Genomic DNA, 22,736 nt, shown 5'->3' on the forward strand with positions numbered 1-22,736 from the left:
CAGCCTCAGGAAGTCCTGACGACATGCGCCCAAGGTGGTTGGGGCACAGCTTGGTTTAATACATTTTAGGGAGACATGAGACATTAATCAATAAATGTAAGGAAGTACACTGGTTCTGTCCAGAAAGGTGGGGACAACTCAAAGCAGGGAGGGGACTTCCAAGTCACAGGTAGGTGAGAGGCAAAAGGTTGCATTCTTTTGAGTTTCTGATAGGCCTTTCCAAAAGGAGGCAATCAGAATCTGCATCTATCTCAGTGAGCAGAAGGATGACTTTGAAATAGAATGAGAATCAGATTTGCCCTGAGCAGTTCCCAGCTTGAAGGGGCCCAAGATATCTTCCTTTCACAAAGTCTTAATAGAAGCTGAAGGCTTCAGATTTAACCCAATTACTGCTGTTAAACATTGCATACAATGGTTCTCAACTAGGGGTGATTTTGACCCCCAAGGGACATTTGTCAAAGTCTAGAAACAGTTTGGTGATAACAGCTGAGGGAAGGGATGCTGTGAAATCTAGTTGGTAAAGGCCAAGGGTGTAGCATTCTGAAATACACAAAACAGCCTCTTGCTCCACCCAACAAATAATGATTTGACCCAAAATATCAACAGCAACAACACTGATAAATGCTGCTACATTGAACTGTTTTTCTAAAAGTACTAAGAGATTAAAATTTATATCACATGACTAATTTATGGGGATTAGAAGTTTTTAAGAGCTTTGTTAAGATATAATTCACATACCAAACAATTCAACAATTGAAGTATGTAATACAATGGTTTAAGTTTGTTTACAGAATTGTGCAATTGCCACATTACGTTCTATATTTTAATCACCCCAAAAAGACAACTAGTACATTTTAGTCATCATCTCTCCATCCTCCCTCTGCTTCCCACCGTAAGCCTTAGCAACCATTCATCTACTTTCTATCTCTATAGTTCTGCCTATTCTGTACATTTCACATTGATGAAATTATACAGTATGTGGCCTTTTGCATCTTGTTCTAGCATAATGTTTTCAAAGTTCATCCATGTTGTCTGTATCAGTATTTCATTCCATTTTATTGCCGAATAATGGGATTTATAACGATACTGCTGCAGAAATCAGGAGAATGGAGAGACCACTGGATGGAAAAGGAGGATTTTATTGAGTGCACTCAGACCCGGCGGATTAACATCCAAAGGCTGAGCCCTTAACAAAGGCAGGGCTTGACTTTTATACACACTTCTGAAAAGGGGCTGGATAGTTTGAAACAAGCTTATAGTGGCGCAAAATGCAGTGACACAAAAGCAGGTAACAAAGGCAGTTTATGAAACAGTGACAGGCCTGTAACTCAGGCTTGTTTAAACACATCATGTGACTCCTGCTATGTGGCCCAGGTGGCTGTTATCTAGGCTTGCCCAAGCTTATCTTGTGTCCTTTGCTGTGCTGCCTGGATGGAAAGCAGGAACTTACAGAAACCAGCCACAGAAAACAGGAATTTGCAAACTTACAAAACTTGCCAGGGTATAGCAGCACATGGGGCCGGGGCAGGTTGGGGGGTGATGGGGGGCAGGGCTTCAGCTGCCTAAAAGAAAAAAAAATTGTTTTTCCTCTTTTTAACTTCTGCTTCATTACCCCCTTTGATGCTTTTTATAAATGAGGTTTAATAGAAAGAATCATTATTATTTAATTCTTCATGTGAAGGTAGTTAGCTCTTTATTTGGCAAGGGTTAATATTTAGTTAGAGCCATTAGTTGAGTGGCAGTTTGTTTCTCTACAAGAGCCTCTGTAGCTGTTTGGATGTTCTTAACAAGGAGAGGTAGGAGACAAGGGAGTATGAGGCAGACTCCTAGTATGGCTAAAACTATTCCTACTAAGGTTTTAAATCCTCTGAGGGATAAAAACCAGCCCCCAAAGAGGGAATCTGAAGACCATCTTTTCCAAGCCTGGAATGGAACATGGGCTAATTTTTGGATTTTTGCAGTTATATTCTTGATGACCTTTCCATTGTCATCAATCTCTAGGCAGCAGTTAGTTAAACTGAACTTTCCACATACCCCTCCTTCCTCAGCTAGAAGGTAGTTTAGGGCTAATCTATTTTAATAAATAGCATTCCTTATTTTTGTGGCTTGCTGGGCTAGCAGATTTAAGGCCTTTACTGTATCATTTGTCATAATTTTAAGTACTGCTTGTAACCTTATGATGTGGTTGAGCATGTAAAGAGTTGTGTGGTATTCCCTACATTCCACCTTCTGCCCAGGTGGCTGGGCCATAATATTGGATTATTCTTTCAGGGGGCCATTAATCGTCCTTGCATTTCCCTATGGTTATGCCCCTTTTATTTCTCCTTTTAGTTTCATCATAGACAGGGTACCCTAAGGCTTCTCCTTGTTTTAAAGGGATTAGAAAGAAAGACGGTCTAATTGTTCCTAGTACACAGGCCCTTGGCCATTTAACTGGCAGTTGCCGATATGCCCACAGTCCACAAATTCAATAGAGGCCGGAGGGTGCCTGTCAGGCATTTGGAGCTTCAAGTTGGTACCGAGAGTAGCATATTTATACCCAGCAAGGGCAAAAGAGGTCTTTACCCTGGGGAGGTGGCTGAGCAAAGTGGCAAAACAGCAGTAAAACACTAATATTATAAGGAAAGCTACTGGACTTAAGATTTCTAACCATATTGACTTCCCTGATGATGACTCGAGCTTCGGCCATGTGTAAACTAGTCAGCTTCCAGGGTGACTAGAGCAGGGCTGTTGCCTCCTCAAGCTTCGGCCGTGCGTTGACTGGTCAGCTTCTGGAGTGACCAGAGCAGGGCTGTCATTGTCTTCAATGGCAATTTGGTCCCGTCGTAGGATTGGCCAGCACAGATGGTCTGGATCCTGTTGGCTGGTCCATTCATCTCAGGCCGCTGGCTTCAGCTGACTGTGGTGGATCCATGGTACAATTACTGCAACTGTAACGGCAGAGTGAGTGGGCAAGATTACAGTATGGGGCCTATCCCATATGGGTCTCAAAGTGGTTGGATTCCATTTTTTGACCCAAATAGCATCCCCGGGTTTGAAGGGGTGTGCCAGGTCTGTCAGGCTTATGGGCATTCTTTCCCATACCCAGCCATAGACACACTGCATGGCTATCCCTAAAGCCTGCATTTGCCTTCTTAAAGTTAGTTCCCCTAGTTCATGGAGATCACCCTTAACTTGACCTATAATTGGGGTTGCCGGCCGAACAAGATTTCATAGGGTGAATACCTGGTTTGTTTGGTGGGGGTGCACCTTACTCAGAGGAGGACCATGGGCAAGACCTGATCCCATCTTAGATGGGTCTCTTGACAATATTTTTTTTAGTAGCGTTTGAGTGTCCAGTTCATGCACTCTATGTTTTTTGAGCTCTGCAGCTGGTAGGCTGTGTGTAATTTCCATTTTATTTTTAATAGCCATACCAGTTCTTGAACTATTTCAGCTACAAGTGCTGGTCCATTGTCTGACCCAAGAGTTGGGGCAGTCCAAATCTTGGGATAATGTCTCTTAACATTACTTTGGTTACCTCCCGTGCTTTTTCTGTTTGGGTGGGGAAAGCTTTGACTCATCCTGACAAGGTGCAGAAGAGTACTAGCATGTACTAATAGCCCCCTGCTCAGGGCAGCTTTGTGAAGTCCATAAGCAGGTTTTCACAGGGTGTGGCTCCAATTTCCTAAATTCCCAGGGGCCGAGTAGGTTATTATGGGTCATTCTGAGCACATGTTAGACATTGCCTGCACACAGCTTGGGTGAGGGCATTGAGCCGTGGCACATAGAGGTGGCATCCCAGTAGCGTTTGTAGTGCCGTTTTCCCCATGTGAGTCTCTTGGTGGAATTGTTTTACAAACTTAGGGGCCACCATTTCAGGGATGGCTAGTCTCCCATCAGAGAATTTCCACCATCCTCCTTCAGTGCATTTTCCAGTTTCTTGGGCAAACCAGGCCTTCTCATTTGGAGAGTAACTTGGGATCTCGGGGAGGGAAGGTTCTGGGAGGAGAAGCATAGCTAAGGATTCCTTTTCAAAGTGTGGAGTAATCATTGCTGTCCGTTTTGCCTCCCTGTCTGCCTTTCTGTTTCCTTTGGCCTCTAGTGTTCTTGCTTTTTGGTGCCCTCTGCAGTGCATAACAGCTACCTTCTTTGGGGCCTATACAGTACCTAAGAGCTGTAAAATCTCCTCTTTGTATTTTATTTCTTTTTTTCCCAGCAGTTAAGAGTCCTCTCTCCTTGTATATAGCTTCATGAACATGCAATGTGGCAAAGACACACTTTTGTCTTTGTGATTTGGAATCAGTGTAAATATTGACCTTTTTGTCTCTCATCAGCAAAAGAGCCCTTGTTAGGGCCATTAGCTCTGCCTTCTGGGCTGATGCTCCGGTGGGCAGAGGCTGAGCCTCTATCACTGAGTCCAACGTTACCACCGCATAACCTGCCCAACGGACCCCTTCCAGTATGAAACTGCTCCCATCTGTGAACTACTTAACAACTGGGTCCCTGAGGGGTTGGTCTGTAAGGTCTCCCCTACTCAAGAATACTTCATCTACCATTTTCACACAGTCATGGAGTGGGGTTCCCAGTTCAATCAGGAGCAAGGTGGCTGGGTTAAGGGTGTTTACTGTTTCTAAAGCTATGTGGGGATTTTTGCATAGGAGTCCCTGGTACTGAGTCATTCCTGGATTTGATAACCAGTGATGCCCTCTCTGGTTCATTAGAGTTATAACTGAATGTGGTAACTGGATGGTCAGCTGCTGCCCTAGAGTCAGTTTGTTAGCTTCTTGTGCCAGTAGGGCAGTGACAGCTAGTGTCTTAAAGCAAGGAGGCTACCTTAGTGCCACTGAGTCTAGTTGCTTGGATAAGTATGCCACCAGGCGATGCCACAATCCTATGAATTGAGTCAGGACTCCTACAGCCATTCCTTTTTGTTCATGGACATATAGAAAGAAAGGCTCAGTTATGTCAGGCAGTCCTAAGACTGGGGCCTGTGTTAAGGCTTCTTTGATTTTTTTAAATGCTTTCTCCTGGTCAGCCTCCCAGAGGAGGGGTTCCTTTTCTCTCCCCTTGAATCTGGCCATGTTCAGTATAATAGAGGGGTCCCTGAGTTTCCCGGGGAGGCATCTGCAAAGCCCAGGCATGGCCAGACTGGAGGCAGCAGGCTTGATCATCCTGACTTTCCTCCTTGACCTGGGGCAGTGGTTTTGATTTTTCTTTTTGAGGCAAGGCCCAGGGTTCGTTACCATTTGAATTTGACTCCTCGGGGGCTGGCCTTAGTAAAGGCGGGTAGATTGGACTGTAGGGAGGATTCCTATCTCCTCTGGTGATTCCTGCAGAACTGGTTTTTCCTGTGGCTTTCCCTTTGTTTCTGTAGCTGACAGCGAAGCTGATTTTTCTTTCACTTTAAGCTTGGCTTGAGCCACGAGTGTTTTGCCATAAGCTGTCAGGCAGAGCTGCAACCACGCAGGTCAGTTTTGGACTATATGTAGCCATGAGTCAATATAAGGAAATTGGTCTGGATGCCCTGGCTGTCCTCCCAACCCAGTCACCACCTTAAATACATGGCCAATTGTTTCCCTATCTATAGTTCCTTCGACCAGCCATCTCACACCAAAAGAGGTCCATTCTATTTCACAGAGAGTTCTCAACCTCTGGGGGGTCAACTTGATCCCACAACACTCTGCATAACTTTTCTTGAAGTTCTTTAACATACATTGTAATGGGGTGGGTTTTGACAGCTTCCTTCCCATTTCCTCCCAGTTATGACACAACTTATTCACTCTTTTACTTTCTCTTCAGACTGATTAGACCATCTCCCTCATGGGAACTTTCAGATGCTGCTTAGCTTTAATGGAGGGTTCATATGAGTCCCAAACCTGGACCACCACAATCACTGAATTGTGGGGTGCCTCCCTAAGCCATATGTGGTAGCCCCGGAGGACGTTTGCCACTAGTCCTGGTTGGTCCCACACTTTGCTAGGGGCGTATGGTCTATGCTAAGAGACCTGTGGCCCCACACACTTCACTCCCCACATTGACTCCTTTTAGAACTGCCTCTTTCACATGCATTCACACACTTCCCTGCTCCCCATTCCTTTTCTCTGGGTGGGGTGTAGGTTTCATCCGACTTTGTGAGCCACTCCCACATCCTGGGTCAGACTACTCAGTGCACCCCTAGGAGTTGATCAGGCTCCCCTTCTGTCCTTATGGGATGGGTCCTGTCTTGGGCCCCAAACCTTACCACAGTCCTGTGGCGCACTATCCCTGAAATCATCCTGTAATCCCTTGGATTCTGTTGCGCTGTCAGGGAGGGGTACTGGATCACGGAAGAACCAATCCCTTCTCTGGGTTTAAGTTCCCCGATGGCATGCCTGAGGTCACAGGTCTCCCCCAGCTCAGGGCCCCAGACCCACAGGCAAAGGAGACAGCAAACCTGTCATCTCCACTCCTGGCTGGTTCACCAAAATATTGCAGGAATGAGGAGACTGGAGAGACTACTGGGTGGAACAGGAGGATTTTATTGAGTGTGCTCAGGCCCAGCAGATTAACAACCAAAGGCTGAGTCCTGAACAAAGGCAGGGCTTGATTTTTATACACACTTCTGAAAGGGGGTTGGCTAGTTTGAAACAAGCTTACAGTGGTGCAAAACGCAGTGGCGTGAAAGCAGGTAACAAAGGCAGTTTATCAAACAGTGGCAGGCCTGTAACTCAGGCTTGTTTAAGCATGTCATGTGACTCCTGCTATGCGGCCCAGGTGGCTGTAATCTAGGCTTGCTCAAGCTTATCTTGTGTCCTTCACTGTGTCACCCGGATGGAAAGCAGGAACTTACAGAAACCAGCCACAGAAAACAGGAATTTGCAAACTTACAAAACTTCCCAGGATACAATAGCACACGGGGTTGGGTGGGGGGTCGGGGTCTCGAGTTGCCTAAAGGAGAAAAATTTGTTTTTCCTCTTTTTAACTTTTGCTTCAATACCACATTTTGTTTATACATTCAGCAGCTGATGGGCATTTGGGTTGCATCCACTTTTTGGCTGTTCTGAAGAGTGTTACTGTGAACATTCATGCACAAATTTTTATGTGGAGGTATGTTTTTATTTCTCTTGGGTATATAACTAAGAATAGAATGATTGGATCATATAATAACTCTGTATTTAATATTTTGAGAAATTGCCAAAATTTTTCTTTTTTTTAATGTTACCACCCATAACGTTTGAACATTCCAATTTCTTTGCATCCTTGCCAACACATGTTATTATCTGTCTTTTTCATTATAACTATCCTTGTGGTTTTGAAGTAGTATCTCATTGTGGTTTTGATTTGCATTTCCCTAGTGGCTAAAGATGTTGAACATCTTTTCATGTTTTTATTGACAAGTTGTTTCTCTTCTTTGGGTAAATGTCTATTTAGATCCATTATTGTTTTTTAAACTCAGCTATTTATATTTTTATTGTTAAGTTGTTAAAAATTCTTCATGCAGTCTGGATATGAGCCCATTATCAGATATATGATTTGCAAATATTTTCTCCCCTTCTGTGGATTGTCTTCTTTTCACTTTCCTGATTGTATTATTTGCAGCACAAAAATGTTTAATTATACTATTGTCCAAATTATCTATTTTTCTCTCTTGTCAGTTTTTTTTTGTTTGTTTTTATTGTCATCTCTAACAGCAGTTCACAAAGTTTGCTTTCATGTTTCCTCTCAAGAATTTCATAGATTTAGCTCTTCTATTTAGGTTTATGACCTACCTCAAGTTAATATAATGTCCTTAGTGAATTATCTTGGCACTACTTATTGAAATTAAGTAGTTTACTTTTGGGCTTTCAATTTTATTCTATTGATCTATATGTTTATCCTTATGTCAATACCATACTGTTTTGTTTATTGTAGCTTTGAAATAAGTTTTGAAATCAGTGTGAGATCTTCAATTTAGTTCTTTTTCAAGATTCTTTTGGCTACTCTAGTTCCTTTGAATTCCCATATACATTCTAGAATCACCATGTCAGTTTCTACAAAATAGCCATTTGGAATTTTGATAGGTATTGCATTGAATGTATAGATCAATTTGATGAGTGTTGCTATTTTAACAATAACAACTCTTCCAATCCATGAACATGGGATGTCTTTCCCTTTATTTTGGTCTTTTAAAATTTCTTTCAACAACGTTTTGTAGTTGTACAAAGTGTTACATTACAGCATCATAGTATTCACTGTGAAAGTCTTATAATTTTTCATTAAATTTGTTCCCAAGTATCTTATTCTTTTTGGATGTTATAAATAAAATTGCTTTCTTAATTTCTTTTCAGATTCTTCATTGCTAGCCTATAACAATGCAATTAATTTGTGTATATTTATCTTGTATAATGCAACCTTTCTAAATTAATTTATTCTAATTATTAATAGTAGATTACTTAAAATTTCTACATACCAAATTATGTCGTATGTAAATATAAGAACTTTTCCTTATGTTTTTGCAATCTTAATTTTTAAGATTTATCTTGTTTACCCAATTTCCCAGGCTAGAACCTCCAATATATTGTTAAATAGAAGTAGTGAGAGTGGACACACTTATGCTGTACTTGAGCTTTGGGGAAAAGCATTCAGTCTTTCACCATTAAGTATGATATGAGCTGAGATTTTGTATTGTTTGTTTTGTTTTTGTAGATACCCTTCATCAAGCTGAAGAAGTTTTCCTCTATTCCTAGTTTATTGAATAGTTTTTTTTTTATCATAAATGGATTTTGGATTTTGTTACATGCTTTTTATGCTCTATTGAAATGACCACGTGTTTTTTTGTTCTTCTTTCTATTGATATGGGGCATTATATCGACTGGTTTTTTGGATGTTAGACCAGCATTATATTTCTGAGATATATCCCACTTTGTCATAGTGAGTGTGTAATCCTTTTTGTATGTATCCATATTTAATTTGCTTGTATTTTGTTGAGAACTTTTGTGTTTATATTCGTAATAGATGTAGGTCTGGTTTTCTTGTGATATCTTTTGTTTTTGTGTCCATATAACCAACCTCATAAAATGAGCTAGGAATTGTTTTCTATTTTTTCAAAGAGTTTTTGAATAATTGTAATAATCATTTGAATAAATAATGATTCTTTAAATAATTGGTAGAATGCACTAGTGAAATTATCTGGGTCTGGGCTTTTCTTCTGGGAAGTTTTAAAATTACTCATTCATTAGAGGTTTTTTTTTTTTTAAGATTTTCTATTTCCTCTTGAGTCAGTTGCAGTGGTTTATGTGTTTTTAGAAATTTGTCCATTTCATTTATGTCCATGGCATACAATCTTTCATACCATTCCCTTATAATATGTTTTATTTCTGTAAGGTTAGTAATAATATTCCCTCTTTAATTCTCGATTTTAATAATTTGAGTCTTCTCTCTTTTTTTCTTAGTCAATCAAGCTGAAATTTGGTCAACTGTGTTGGTTTGACCAAGGAATCAACTTTTGGTTATTAAGTTTTGATATAACTTTTCTAATCTTTATTGCATTAATTAGTGCTCTATTTTTTATGTATTACTTTCTTATGCTTACTTTAGGTTTCATTTTCTCTTATTTTTGCAGTGTCTTAAGGTGGAAGTTTGGGTAATTGATTTGAGGTCTTTCTTCTTTTATAATGTAGATATTTATGGCTATACATTTTCTTCTAAACATTGCTTTAACTGCATCCAATTCATTTTAGTTTGGTGTGTTTTTGTTTTAATTTATCTCAAAGGATTTCTGAATTTCCCATATGACTTCTTCTTTGAATCACTGGTTTTATTTATGAATGTGTTATTTAATTTCCAAATATTTATACATTTTTAAAATTTTATTCTATTATTAATTTCTGATTTGATTCCAATGTCATTGGAGAATATACTTTGCATTATTCAAACCTTTTAAATTTACTGAGGCTTGTTTTATGGCCTAGCATATGGACTGTCCTGAAAAAAGCTCCATGTACACTTGAAAAGAAGATGTATATTCTACTGTTTGTGGGCGGATGGTCTATAGATGTTTGTTAGTTCTAGTTTGTTATAGTGTTGTTTGTTTATAATTATATATCCTTTATAACCTTCTTCCCATTCTATACATTATTGAAAGTGAGATTTTGTAGTCCCTAACTATTATTGTTGAATTGTCTGTTTCTTCCTTCAATTCCATAAGTTTTTGCTTTATGTATTTTGGGACACTGTTGTTAGGTATTTATATGATTATAATTATTACCTTTTTCTCATAGATTGGCCCTTTTATCATTATTATGTGTCTTCCTTATCTCCACTAATATTTTCTGGTCTTAAAGTTGATTTTGTCTGATATTAGCATAACCACTCTGGCTCTCTAAAGTTGCTAGTGGCACGACATATCTTTTTTCATTCTTTTACTTTCAACTTATCCTCTGTGGACAATATATAGCTGAATCTTGTTTTTTTATCCAATTTAACAACTTATGCCTTTTGATTTGACTGTTTAATCCATTCACATTGCATAATTATTACTGTGATTGGATATATGTCTGCCATTTTACTCTTTGCTTTCTATATGTCTCATATCACATTTTGTTCCTCTGTTCCACCTTTATTACTTTCTTTTGTATTAAATTAATGTTTGAAGTATAATATTTTAATTTTTAGTGATTTTTAGTATATTTTTAGCTGTTTTCTTAGTGGTTGCCCTAGGGCTGTGTAGACTGACTAAGAAAAAAGAGAGAAGACTCAAATTATTAAAATCAAGAATTAAAGAGGGAATATCATCACTAATTTTACAGAAATAAAAATTATTATAAGGGAATAGTATGAACAGTTTATATATTAACTTATCAGAATGATGTGTACTACCTTAATGCAAGTAAAATATAGACACTTTACTCTTACATAGCTCTATTCTCTCTTCCTCTTTTTTAATATTGTTATTATACATATTACCTATATATATGTAACGAACCTAAAAATATATTGTTATAATTATTACTTTATATAGTTTTATGTCTTTTAAAGAAGCTGAGAGAAGAAAGGAGAGAAATACGTATTTGTAGAATTTCTTTCATTAATCTTCTTATTTATCCTTTCTGAGTCTCTTCATTTATTTCCTGTGCATTCAGGTTACCAACAGTTGTCAGCTTCCTCCAACACAGCTCCACTCCCTTTCACCTCCTTTGGGCTCTTTTTGATAAATATGTTAGATTTTATCTTTGTTATAAGCCCTAGATTATATTTTGAGTGAAAGGTCTACACCAAGCTTGTCCAACCTGCGGCCTGGGGACCACATGTAGCCCAGGATGGCTTTGAATGTGGCCCAACACAAATTCATAAACTTTCTTAAGACATTGAGGGTTTCTTTTTTTCTCATGAGCTATTTTTAGTGTTAGTGTATTTTATGTGGCCCAAGACAATTCTTCTTCTTCCAATGTGGCCTAGGGAAGCCAAAAGATTGGACACCCTTGTGTCCAATTATTCTACACAATATAGAAAAATGATTACTTACTGCAGCCCTGGGTTCCTGGCCGACTAAAGAGAAACACCCAATAGAAACAACTTCCTTCTAGCAAGAATTAACAATGGTAATTAAGAGACTTTGTAACTTTGTGATCTGTTCAAAAGACTGCCCAAGGCTAAGCCTAAAGGAACTTTCCAAGTTATTAACGAGAGTTTCACAACTCTGGAGCCTTTTATGAACAGGACAGCAATGCACTGAAACTATCACAACTGCTTCAATGTCTGATATTCCTATGGTTATAGAGAACCAACATGAATATTGCAGTTAGAATTACTAGAGAGCTCTTTTTCTTATATAAACACTTCAACAAATATGAGTTTATGCATAAAGACATCTTTTTTCAGAAGCTGAATAATGAGCAAATCCTTTTTTACAATGTTTTATATTTTTGAATTTTAAAATTTGTTCAGCATCCCGAGTCAGACAAGTAAGAATGAAATCAAACGCAAATCTGGCAACAGAGATGTTTTGTGACTCATGAGTAAGCCATTCAGGTACAGACAATACCTGTCAGGCAGGTTGGGTGTGTTGCTAGATCACTTTCTCCATGCTCAAACACAGATATGATGTCTCGACACCCACATAAGGTATTTCATGCTAAAATCAAGAAATACTGGGAGTTCCACTGAGACCTTAACTTTCAGGAAAAATAAAATCAGTGTACTCATTGAAGAGTAGCTATAATCACTCTTTGGACACAGAAACGTTGCACTCTTTTTTGAAGGTTCTTTCTTGAAGCAGACGTTTCTTTCCATTTCTTTTTTTGTCAGAAAATCATTTCACAAACTGCTTTGAGATTTAACTAAATTTCTTATTTTTTTTTTTTTAAAGTTGAGCTGGGACTGGGCATGGTGGCTCACTCCTGTGATCCCAGCACTTTGGGAGGCCGAGGTTGGTGGATCAAATGAGGTCAGGAGTTTCAGACCAGCCTGGCCAACATGGTGAATCCTCGTCTCTACTAAACATACGAAAATTAGCTGGGCGTCGTGGCACGCGCCTGTAATCCCAGCTACTCAGGAGGCTGAGTCAGGAGAATGGCTTGAACCTGGGAGGTGGAGGTTGCAGTGAGCCAAAGTCGTGCCACTGCACTCCAGCCCAGGCAACAGAGCAAGACTTCATCTCAAGCAAAAAAACAAACAAAAAAAGTTGAGCTGGAATTTGAGCTTATTTATTATTCCTTGAAAATCAAGTGTAGATACCCTCGATTGCTACCATAGGGAGTGCCACAGCAAGAGCTCAGTGAGTATAATTTGTCCTCCTGTTTTTTTCTTTGTTTTGATTGCACATTTACTCTATCAATAATATGAATGTTTCAAATTTTGTCTTTGAAATGTGGACTAGCAAAATTACTAAGATACTGAGTACTTAAAGTTACTTATAAAATACCGCTTAAAGATATCAACATCTGTTCATCTGTAAAGCACTCTAGAAGTTGTTTGCAATTTTTACTGACAACTAAGTGAAATATAAAGATAAAACATTTGGATCTTTGATGAGCTTCAATTAGAAATGTTTTTTTCCAGAATATATCATTTTTCTAATGATAAATGGTTTAGATTGTGTTAATATTTCTGTTCCACAATTGTATTATTTCCTTTTGCCCATAGACTTTTTATTCATGCATTTCTTCAAAAAATAAATATTATATTGTTTCATCCCAATGCTTATATGGAGGCCCAGGAGGCTCTGCATCCCAACCCCTCTGTTTTCTGTCTTACCTGCCAGGTCAGGATGAGAAATGCCATTGGGCTTATTGAGGCAGGGATGGTGAGTCTAGCTTTCAGTTTCCTGTACCTGGCTGACATGATTTTCTTCACCGTCACTTGCTCTGGCTGGTATTTGTATCCATATAGAAAAATATAAACATAACAAAAGCTTTGGACAAATGAAATCAAATTCTAATTCTATTAGAAGGCACCTGATGTCATTCTCTTAATGACTTTTTAGAGTATTACTGCACAAATACCCTCCACCAGGGGGTAGGGGAGGAAGCCTGTATTCTCCTCTGTCTGCATATCTAGTACTTTGCTAGTGGCTGACTTGGTGCTCCATAAACATGCCGTTTCTTCCTGACACTTTCATTTTCTTAAGCCCATTAACAGCATGAGATAGACACATATGGGTGGATTCCCAAGTCAGATGCTTTGTTCTGAAACTATCTTTAAAATCTACTGTAGACTGATTTTCAGACCATTTTCCAGTGATGGAAACAGGCTCTCCCTGTGAATTTATGCAGCCTTGTTTCCCCTAACGTTTCACCCAAAATGAGGTTAGCCCTGGAAATTCCAGTGTCCCTTAGCTACAGGGGCCCTCCACTGAGAATGGCTTACTCCTATGTGTGGTACAAGTATTATGTTTGTTGCCTGTTCACATCCCAGGAAAAATACTGATTTCTGCTCCTGAAGTCATAAAAGATTATTCAATCATAAGCCTTATGTTTGGGATTATCTTCAACTATAAGCGGCTGCACACATTCAGCTTGTTCTTCCTGACTGAAGGGTCCAGAAGCAGACAGTCTATGGGTGGGAGGGTAACTCACAATGTCACCAGGGACCCAGTTCCTTTTCATTTCTACTCAGTCATCCTTGGCACAGGCGTGGTACTCTGTGTTACAAGAGGGCTGTTTGGTCCACCAGCAGCAAGAGGAAGGGAAAGGGGCAATGGGCAAAGATGACATGTCTATTGGCAAACTCTTCTAAAGAGATTTCCCAGAGGCAGGACGAACTTCTCACCCAAAATTTGGTTCAGATGTTGAGACTGATGATACCATATATGAATCCACTAAGAAAGTATGGAAAGGTTTATTGCTTACATAATGATCCAAAAATAGCTTTAGAATCCAGAGAAGAGAGACTGGCTTGGCGTTTATTGTGGGTAGAGATGAGGCTGGGGTGAAGGCTTTTGCACAGGGGTAGAGGCTTGTGGGGTTTAAATTTCCCACCAATTCCAAAGGAGGGAGCACCTGGGCCTTCTTTTCAGCTTCCTGGATATGGAACAAAAGGAGAAGAGGGAGTAATGAGATTTGAATGCAGCCAGACATCAGAAATGTAGTCAGACTCTTTATTGCACTGTCTCAATACCCTTCTCCTGGCATCTTACAGCAGGCTGAGAAATGTGGTGTTTTAGTGGCCACAATGGAGGGCTGTTAGCACAGGAGTGCAGGATGGAGGTGAGCGGGGGGGCAGGCAGCAGACTCTGCCAGCCCAGCCATCTCGTCTTTCCTGCTGACCTCCATTCAAAGATGAAAAGTGACCTTGGCTGTCCACAAGGATCAATGGTGTTGAGGTACCTGGCTCACTTTTGTTACATAACCAAGTCCAGTGAACTACAGTAATGTAGCCTTTTCCAAAGCTTGAAGGAGCAAGAGGAAAACCATGAGAAGGAAGAAGAGAGCTACCCTTTGGGACACAGCAGGGCCCAGTGAGTGTGTTCAGCTATAAATATGGGCATCCTAAAGATCCATCGCAATGGTATGTCCTTCTGTTAATTGCAAAGACAAAGGGAACACACAAGCTAAAAACAACAACAAGAACAACAGTAACAATAACGATAGAAAGCAAAACAGCCTAATTCTGTCCTCTAGGCTGGAGACTGTAATTTTTTCCCCACCGTAGGATACTGTTAAGTTTATTCTAGGGTGAGTGGGTGCCCAAGGGAGGCAGTGAGTATGGCTGAAGTCACCTGGTGGCAGGGTGCTCAGGGATGGCCACAAGTTCTACACGGCCCTGCAGGACCTGAGTCTTTAGTCAGTTGGGAAGCTCTACCTTCTGCCCCAGCCCAAGAGGGTTGGGGCAGTCACGGATGTAGCAGTTTTCGTAATTCACAGGGATCCATGATGAGCATTGAGCAGGCTTGATTCTCACACACATACGCAGTGGCCTGGTCTTCCTGCCTTCGGAGGGTACTCAGGAAAGGCAGCCAGTGGGACAGGAAACTCGAGGGGTCCCCATCAGCCAGAATCAGCACCATGTTAGGAATGTAGACAGGGTGGACGCACTGCACCAGAACTTTGGTGTCCTTGGCCTGGCGGTCTCCACAGATGGTGATCTGCCTGAGGGTCTGCTGCTGGGCTGAGAGGGCACGGACCATCTCCGGCAATGCCACCGGGACATGGTGCATGTGCTGGGAGAAGGCAGTCACTAGGCACACACACTTGTCCATCCAGTCCTTGTGACTCGTGAAGCTGTGCAACCAGAGCGGGTTGTGGGCTGACACGGAATTGGCGCTGGGCTCTGGAGACTGTAATGTTTTAAACTCTAGGAGGAATGTCCTCTGAAAGATTGTTCAGAAGAGGAAGTTGTTTTCCCCACTGGAAGGAAAAGAGGGGAGAAGAGTCAGAATGATTAGATAAAAGTGCTTTCCAATATGTTATTGTCCAGAGCGTGGTGTAGAAAAACAAAAGTATAGTAAAAAATGATTCTCCCTTTCAGTTCTCTCTTTAACCTTTCTCTCTCTCTCACATTTTTGTACTCAGATGTTGCTCCCTGCTTAAAAATAATTCTGCAGTTGAAAAGCAAGTCACTTGGGAAGATCTGCAAGTTAAAGCCCTACCAATAGTTTTCAAATATGACAATAAATGTCTGGGTGGTGATGAAGGGTGACTTGCAGAAGCACCATTTTCCATTGAGAAGGTGGTTATTGGCTTGCTATTAGAGGAGGAAGAAAAGATCTATGTTTATGGTGCTGATGGAGAAGCATTCAGAACTAGCTGCTTTTGTGTTTAATATTTCAGTGAGGCAGGTGTCCCTAAAGGCATGTTGACACTTACCTCTAAGGATTCAACCAGAAATCTCTTTGATTTGACATTTATTTTACAACTTTGATGTTTGTGACCACTGCTCAGTTCCCACAGGTTGCTGTTTGACCACGACAAGGTCACAAAGCCACGAAGCCATAAAATATGTTCAATTCAATAGCTAGTTATGGCTCTCGGCTCAGGGACCCCACCTCCCCAAAAACTAGCAGTCTAGAGGACTCCCTTGGCAGAGAATCTGAGCACATGCGTTCTGCGAAGCCTCTTCTGGGGTCCTGATTTATTTTTATTTTTTCACTTTCTCCCCTTTATTCTCTTGATGAGCTTCAAAAAAAAATTCCATTGCAGCTGGCAAGGCCGAAAAGGTACTTAATTTCAACCACATTTTTGGTACCCTAGGAAAACTAATTAGAAATAATATACAGAGAACAAGGTATGGCATAGATGCACAAGATCTTTGCAGGCCAGTGAGCAAACCAAAGATACGAGAAATCGTAGGTCTGCCAACCTTATCTTAAAGTAAAAAATTGAGTTACAAACAAAATACAAGTGCCACCACTCCTAGTGTGGAGAAGTCAGCTTGGGCCCATATCCCAACTTTAAGTAAAGTAGAAAACATTTATTTTATGTCTGCTTTGCCGTGACTGCCCTACAGTGGAAACAGGACATTTTTGCCATGAATTTATCATTTGATGCAGATGTTTGGCTCAAGTTTCCTGATCTTGTCAGCAAAGTTGACGTTAAAACATTAGAACAAGAATTGTGGTTTATTTACGTTTTCTTACAAGGTGTAAATTTGCATATATGAGCTTTGTTTTTATTGCAGCCTCTTAGCCTCTAGTTTTGGAGTGTATGCCCTATTTTTTCTCCATGAATAGTTTGATAGTTGTACTTAAATTTATGGGTTCTTTCTACCTCTTTCTACCTTTATTTCTCCAAGTACCAGCACATTTTATTACAGTGATTGCTGCTTTCCTGTTATTTTTTTAATGGCCATCAAGAAATATAGACTCCCATCGTAGCATTGCAGGTGGCTAACCCCATCTTGACCTCTAGACTTTTCTAAGTCTGCAAAGAATAAAAACAAGGAGGAATTTGCAAAGTTCATCAAGTCTAGACCTTCCTTAGAGGCCTAATGATTATATTTGAAGCCACTCTGGCCAGTTTTCCTGATTGGAAATGGTTAAAAAGTAGCTAGGAAGTTCTGAAAAAGCAAAAGTGGTTAAGATAACAAGTTAAGCATTAGCAAGGAAGTTTTTCTTCAGTTCAAGTATTAATACATGGTCTGGGCTTTAGGAGTAATTTTACACCAGTTGTCTGTTTTCCTTTCAGAGGTGGATGGAAAGTTGTTCTCAAAATGCATCTGAGTTGTTGAATATCCATTATGTTACAGGGAAGCCATTCCTTCTTCCAAAACAGTTTTAATTTTTATGGAGTCTAAGTTAAAACAGGAACATTTATTTTCTTATGGGTAAAGTTCCTGGAATGCTCTATTACATGGATTTAGTACATTTTTTGACCAAATAACACTTGACCAAACATTATTTTCAAAATTGATCTCTCTTTAAAAAACAAAAAGATTTAAAAATATGGTTCCTTTTGCTGATGAGCATCATACTTTGGCATTTAGTCTGTAAAACCTTGGCATTTAGTCTGTCTTCCTGGAGCTCAGTTTCTTGAAATGCACATCTCGCATTCAGGGCTTTCATACTCAACAGGTGGTACCAGCCACTGGTGTTCTGCTTATAATAAAAATGATACATGTGTATTAATATTGCTCTTGAAGTTAATAAACACACCCAAATCTGGTTAATTTGTTCAAATTATTGACAGATTCTCTGTGATTTACCAGGATTAATGAGTATGCAAATACAAGGAAGAATGCCCAGGATAGAGAACATCATGGAACATATTGTACTTTATTGTAAAATAAAAATAGCCCTGGACAGCCCATGGAATGCGTTCTAACAGCATAATCAGTTCTTTACTGTGGTTTTCCTGCCAGGCGGGGAGCCCTGTGTCACACAGGGTGGGTGCCAAGTGTCTGGTTTGCGCTTTGGTAAGATTTTTCTTTTTCTTCCTGATAATTTTCAGGTTTGCAGTTTCTCCAAGTGCAAAACATCCAAGCCACCCTCCCTCTGCAGTGGAGTATTGATTTTGTTCTAGATTTCTCAGCAAAGGTTGGGATATTAGAGTTCAAAACACAAGTGGGCAGGGTGAGCCCACAGTCTCTGTGACGGGGCCTGCTGGACACTCCCAGTCTGCCGGCGAATGGCAGAGGCCTGGGACAGCACGGTGGAATTTTCATCTCGTGCAAATGAACTTGGCCTCTTAGATCCAGGTCCTCTGCTACCAACAGTGAATTTGTTACAGTGTGAAATGCTGAGGCAACTACCTAAATAAATCTGGGCAAAATATACTATCGAAGCAATCTGGGATTTCCACCCTTCATGAATTATCTCACATTTTAGTCTAAATTGTTTAAGAATGACTTGCTCACGGCTGGGCATGGAGGCTCATGCCTGTAATCATAGCACTTTGGGAGGCCAAGGAGGGCGGATTGCTTGAGCTCAGGAGTTTGAGACCAGTCTGGGCAACATGGTGAAACCCCGTCTCTACTAAAATACAAAAAAAATTAGCTGGACATTGTGATGGGCACCTGTAATCCCAGCTACTTGGAAGACTGAGGCAGGAGAATCGCTTGAACCAGGGAGGTGGAAGTTGCAGTGAGCCAAGATTATGCCACTGCCCTTCAGCCTGGGTGACAGAGCAAGACTCCATCTAAAAAAAAAAAAAAAAAAAAAATGGCTTTCTCCCTTGCTCCCTTTTTGCCCTCTGTCCACATGGTCCCAGAGTCGGTGTTTGAAAAGCGGCTTTCCACTGTCCAGAGAGGATTATTCTTAACAGGCTGATGATCCTGGAGCCCACGGCCACACTTCTGGGCTCTAGTCACCTCTAATCCACGTTGTGATAATTGGTCATTTTGTTTTGTGCAGGCAAGACTTGGATGTGCAATTTTCATACCATCTCTTGATTGTTTACCCAAACAGAAAATGTAACCAGGGAACCAGCAATATGGTAGTTATGCACTTCCCAAATCAACTTGAAGTTGATCCTAAATGCACGCTGTTTCCACTGCTGCTTCTCTGATGCAGGTTCTGCCCCAGTGATAGTGAGCTGGGGTTACTGTGAACCAAGATTGCACACGGGGCTATATGTGGAAACTCCGACCCCATGGTGCCTGCCACACACTCACACACATACTCTTTGAGACCCAACCAAACCAGCACTCAGAGGCAAAGAGTTTAAAGAGGTGGGGCTTTATCCAACATTGGAACCATTTTAAATTCCCCAAGTAGCTCCATTTCAAGTTCTTCAGATGGCCTATGAAGATCGATAGGACGTCTTTCCCTAAGCCCTTGCCCTCGTGCCTCTCCTGACACACGCCCAGCATCTCTCTTCTGGAGGCCTTCCCTGCTAAAGCTCTTTCTGTGCAACTTCTTGGCTGACTCCTCCATCCCCAGGAGGCTCTATCTAACAGCAGCCTCATCAGGGACACCTTCCCCTCCTGCCACCTGCTCTGTGTTCCCCCAGCCCACATCTTCATTACACAAACTATTTGTATGCTCACTTATAAGCTTAAGGGAAAGAGACAGTAAGCTCGTCTGGGTAGGAAGTCTGTTTTGTTTACTGCAGTCTCCATATCCTATGGAAGGGTGCCGGGCCCACTGTAGATGCTAAATTAAAACCTGGTAAATGTTGAACAAATAAAATGATTAAATCAAATGGTGTAGTATGCAAGGAAGAAACAAAGATAGGGATTCAAGCCCTGCCTCTCTACCTGGCTGTGTGACTTCAGCTCAGTTATTGAACTTCTCTTGCTTTTAATCTTCTTATCATTATAATTACTGAGATTTGGGCCACGTTTTTAGAAAGTTAAGATTTTGTGTGGCTTTTTGAGCTTTGACACTTTAAAATTGTTTATCTTCTTTTCTGATTTTTTTTTTCCTGCTGGGCTGTAATTTTCTTAAGGGCAGGATTATTAAAGATGCATCTGTTTATTTCCTGAAATTCACAGGACAACACTTACACTCAGGTGCTCAATAATCATTTGTTGGAAATAACCTGTTTTGTTTTTTCCCCAGAAAGCCTGTTTCAAAAGGTGTATTTTATAGTATTTGATCTGCTAGATCGAGGGTTGGCAAACTTTTTCTGAAAGAAGTCCAGGCAGTAAATATTTTGAGTTTCGCGGCCATACTTTTTGAGATGGAGTATCACCCAGGCTGGAATGCAGTGGCGTGATCTCGGCTCACTGCAACCCCCACCTCCCAGGTTCAAGCTATTCTCCTGCCTCAGCCTCCCAAGTAGCTGGGATTACAGGAGCCTGCCACCATGCCCTGCTAATTTTTGTATTTTTAGTAAAGACGGGGTTTTGTCATGTTGGCCAGGCTGGTCTCGAGCTCCTGACCTCAGGTGATCTGCCCGCCTCGGCCTTCCAAAGTGCTGGGATTATAGGCGTGAGCCACCATGCCCAGCCTATATTTCTTTATCACAACTCTGCAACTCTGCCATTTTAGCCTGAAAACAGCCATAAACAATTTGTGAACAAATGGGCATGGCTGTCTTGAAATGAAACTTTATTTGCAAAAAACAAATGACAGGCTGCATTTGACCTGGGAGCTATAGTTTGCTGGCCCAGCACTAGACGGTTATTGTCATAAAATAACCATTTTCTAAAAACGAACTCTTTGTTTCCACTGTGTTTCTGAGTAAGTTACATGAGATCATTTAAGTTTCATTTCTATTGTTGGCCATTTGTTATATGAATAAAGATTTGCTAAGTGACCCTCAAGCTTGGGTCTTTATTTCATTTTTAGATTATATAAGGCTTGACCCACTTAAGAAATGTAACCGTCTTTTTATTTCTCCTATTAATTTTTTTTTTGTCTTTGTGACTATCTTGTTTATACAAACTGAACCTGAGACAAAGCCGCTAGTGACTGCTTTTTGTGGTTAAACTGGTTTCGAACCCACCAAAGTCTAGAAGAGGGAAAGAAAGAATTGTACCAGATTTGATGTGTTTTGTGTAACGTAAGCCAGATTGTACCTCCTTCTCTCTCTCCCAGGTCTGTATACAACTTAGGACCAAGAGGTGGACTTTGGTGTCTTAGTTCAAGCTCTAAAAATACCAGGGAAGCAGGGACCACGACACATCCCAGGCTTGGTGCAGAAACCTGACCTGAATTGGACCTTAAGATCAGAATATAGATCTATTGTCTTTCCTCACCTGGCTGTTACCAAACTAACTTCCGCATCTCCTGGGAGTGCTTTCTATTTCATCCAGGCAGTGCCCTTATCTGATCTGGAGTGGGTTTATCTCTGGGAGAGCTATTGAAGTGCCTGACAGGAGAGGACACTAAGAGTACCTCCAGTCTCCAACTGCCTCCTCCGGCAGAACTGAGCAAGTCCTAACCATGCCAAAAACATCATTATCTCTGGTTCCATCTTAGTCCCTGCACACCCTAGGATTCAAGGACTCAAGTAAGTTGGGGAGGGGAACATCTTTTCACCCCTGGAAAACCTTGTCTCCTCCCAAGCCCTGGGAGGGGAGAACTGCTGCTAATGAGATGCTGGTAGTTAGTCTTGTAATTTTTACAGTATTATCTGCAGAATGAATGACTACCAGCAGGTACTCTGAATCTCTTTTCTTTCTAATAAGATGTAATCAACGAACCAGATTGTGGCCTTGGAGCTGACCAAAGGATCAGCTAAAGGAATTGGACACATCCTGAGCTAGTTAACACATGGGTATTGTCGGTCTAAGATGCTCTTTAGGGGCTAGTGACTCATTCATGATGTGCAGGAAATGGCACAGACACCTCCATGACCACAGAAGGTTTCTACAGGCGCCGTCATCACAGGGTCTACAAACAGAAGGAAGTCAGAGAGAGAGGCTCAGGGGAAGGCAAGGCGGGGCTGGAGACCTGGATTCTACGTCGGAGTTTACCGCATCCTGGTTCTATTCCCAAAGTCCTCTCTGTGTGGCCATATGCCTGATTCTCAGCCTGGCTTCATTCCAGTCATCTCAGGATCTTACAAACAACATTGATGTCCAGGCCCCACCCCAGACCAATGAAATCAGAATCTCTTGGACATTAAAAAAAAAAATGAGTGATTCTTTCTGGGTGATTCTAATATGTGGTCAGGGTTGAGGCCACTGCTTTACTTCATTACATCATGACACTAAAAATACTACTGGAAAGAAAAAAGGAGGGCTACCATCTGCCTTCCAATCTCTTCAGCTGGGAACCTCTTCATAAGACTGTATCTGAAACCAGGATACGAGATCCTTATAAGTAATTCCATTTATAATAACAAAGAAAGAAAAGAAAGAAAGAAAGAGAGAGAGAGAAAGAAAGAAAGGAGGGAAGGAAGGAGAGAGGAAGGAAGGGAAGGGAAAGAGAGACAGAGAAAGGAAAGAAGAAAGAAAGAAGGAAAGGGAAGAAA

The 22,736-nt window shown here is 40.8% G+C and overlaps 1 protein-coding gene and 1 pseudogene across 3 annotated transcripts in view, besides 4 other annotated features; one reads left to right on the top strand and one right to left on the bottom strand.

Moving 5' to 3' along the window:
* Positions 1,212-1,506: an enhancer, noted in NCBI's record as "tiled region #5297; HepG2 Activating non-DNase unmatched - State 24:Quies, and K562 Activating DNase matched - State 9:DNaseU". NCBI's record gives its function as "activates a minimal TATA promoter and a strong SV40 promoter by Sharpr-MPRA in HepG2 and K562 cells {active_cell/tissue: HepG2 | K562}" and the evidence as "EXISTENCE:reporter gene assay evidence [ECO:0000049][PMID:27701403]".
* Positions 6,512-6,806: an enhancer, noted in NCBI's record as "tiled region #13169; HepG2 Activating non-DNase unmatched - State 24:Quies, and K562 Activating DNase matched - State 9:DNaseU". NCBI's record gives its function as "activates a minimal TATA promoter and a strong SV40 promoter by Sharpr-MPRA in HepG2 and K562 cells {active_cell/tissue: HepG2 | K562}" and the evidence as "EXISTENCE:reporter gene assay evidence [ECO:0000049][PMID:27701403]".
* KCNJ15 (potassium inwardly rectifying channel subfamily J member 15) overlaps positions 6,971-22,736 on the top strand; it is a 77,432-nt gene continuing 61,666 nt past the window's right edge. For all 3 annotated transcript variants that reach the window (NM_001276439.2, NM_001276437.2, NM_001276438.2), the window contains exon 1: positions 6,971-7,068. The gene's annotated coding sequence lies outside the window, so the exon portion shown is untranslated. The remainder of the gene's footprint in view (positions 7,069-22,736) is intronic.
* SPATA20P1 (spermatogenesis associated 20 pseudogene 1) lies at positions 15,090-15,711 on the bottom strand (annotated as a pseudogene).
* Positions 22,170-22,249: an enhancer, noted in NCBI's record as "active region_18456". NCBI's record gives its function as "activates an Ori minimal core promoter by ATAC-STARR-seq in GM12878 lymphoblastoid cells {active_cell/tissue: GM12878}" and the evidence as "EXISTENCE:reporter gene assay evidence [ECO:0000049][PMID:35858748]".
* Positions 22,330-22,379: an enhancer, noted in NCBI's record as "active region_18457". NCBI's record gives its function as "activates an Ori minimal core promoter by ATAC-STARR-seq in GM12878 lymphoblastoid cells {active_cell/tissue: GM12878}" and the evidence as "EXISTENCE:reporter gene assay evidence [ECO:0000049][PMID:35858748]".

This window comes from Homo sapiens, chromosome 21, assembly GCF_000001405.40.
Source record: "Homo sapiens chromosome 21, GRCh38.p14 Primary Assembly".
Taxonomy (NCBI): Eukaryota; Metazoa; Chordata; class Mammalia; order Primates; family Hominidae; genus Homo; species Homo sapiens.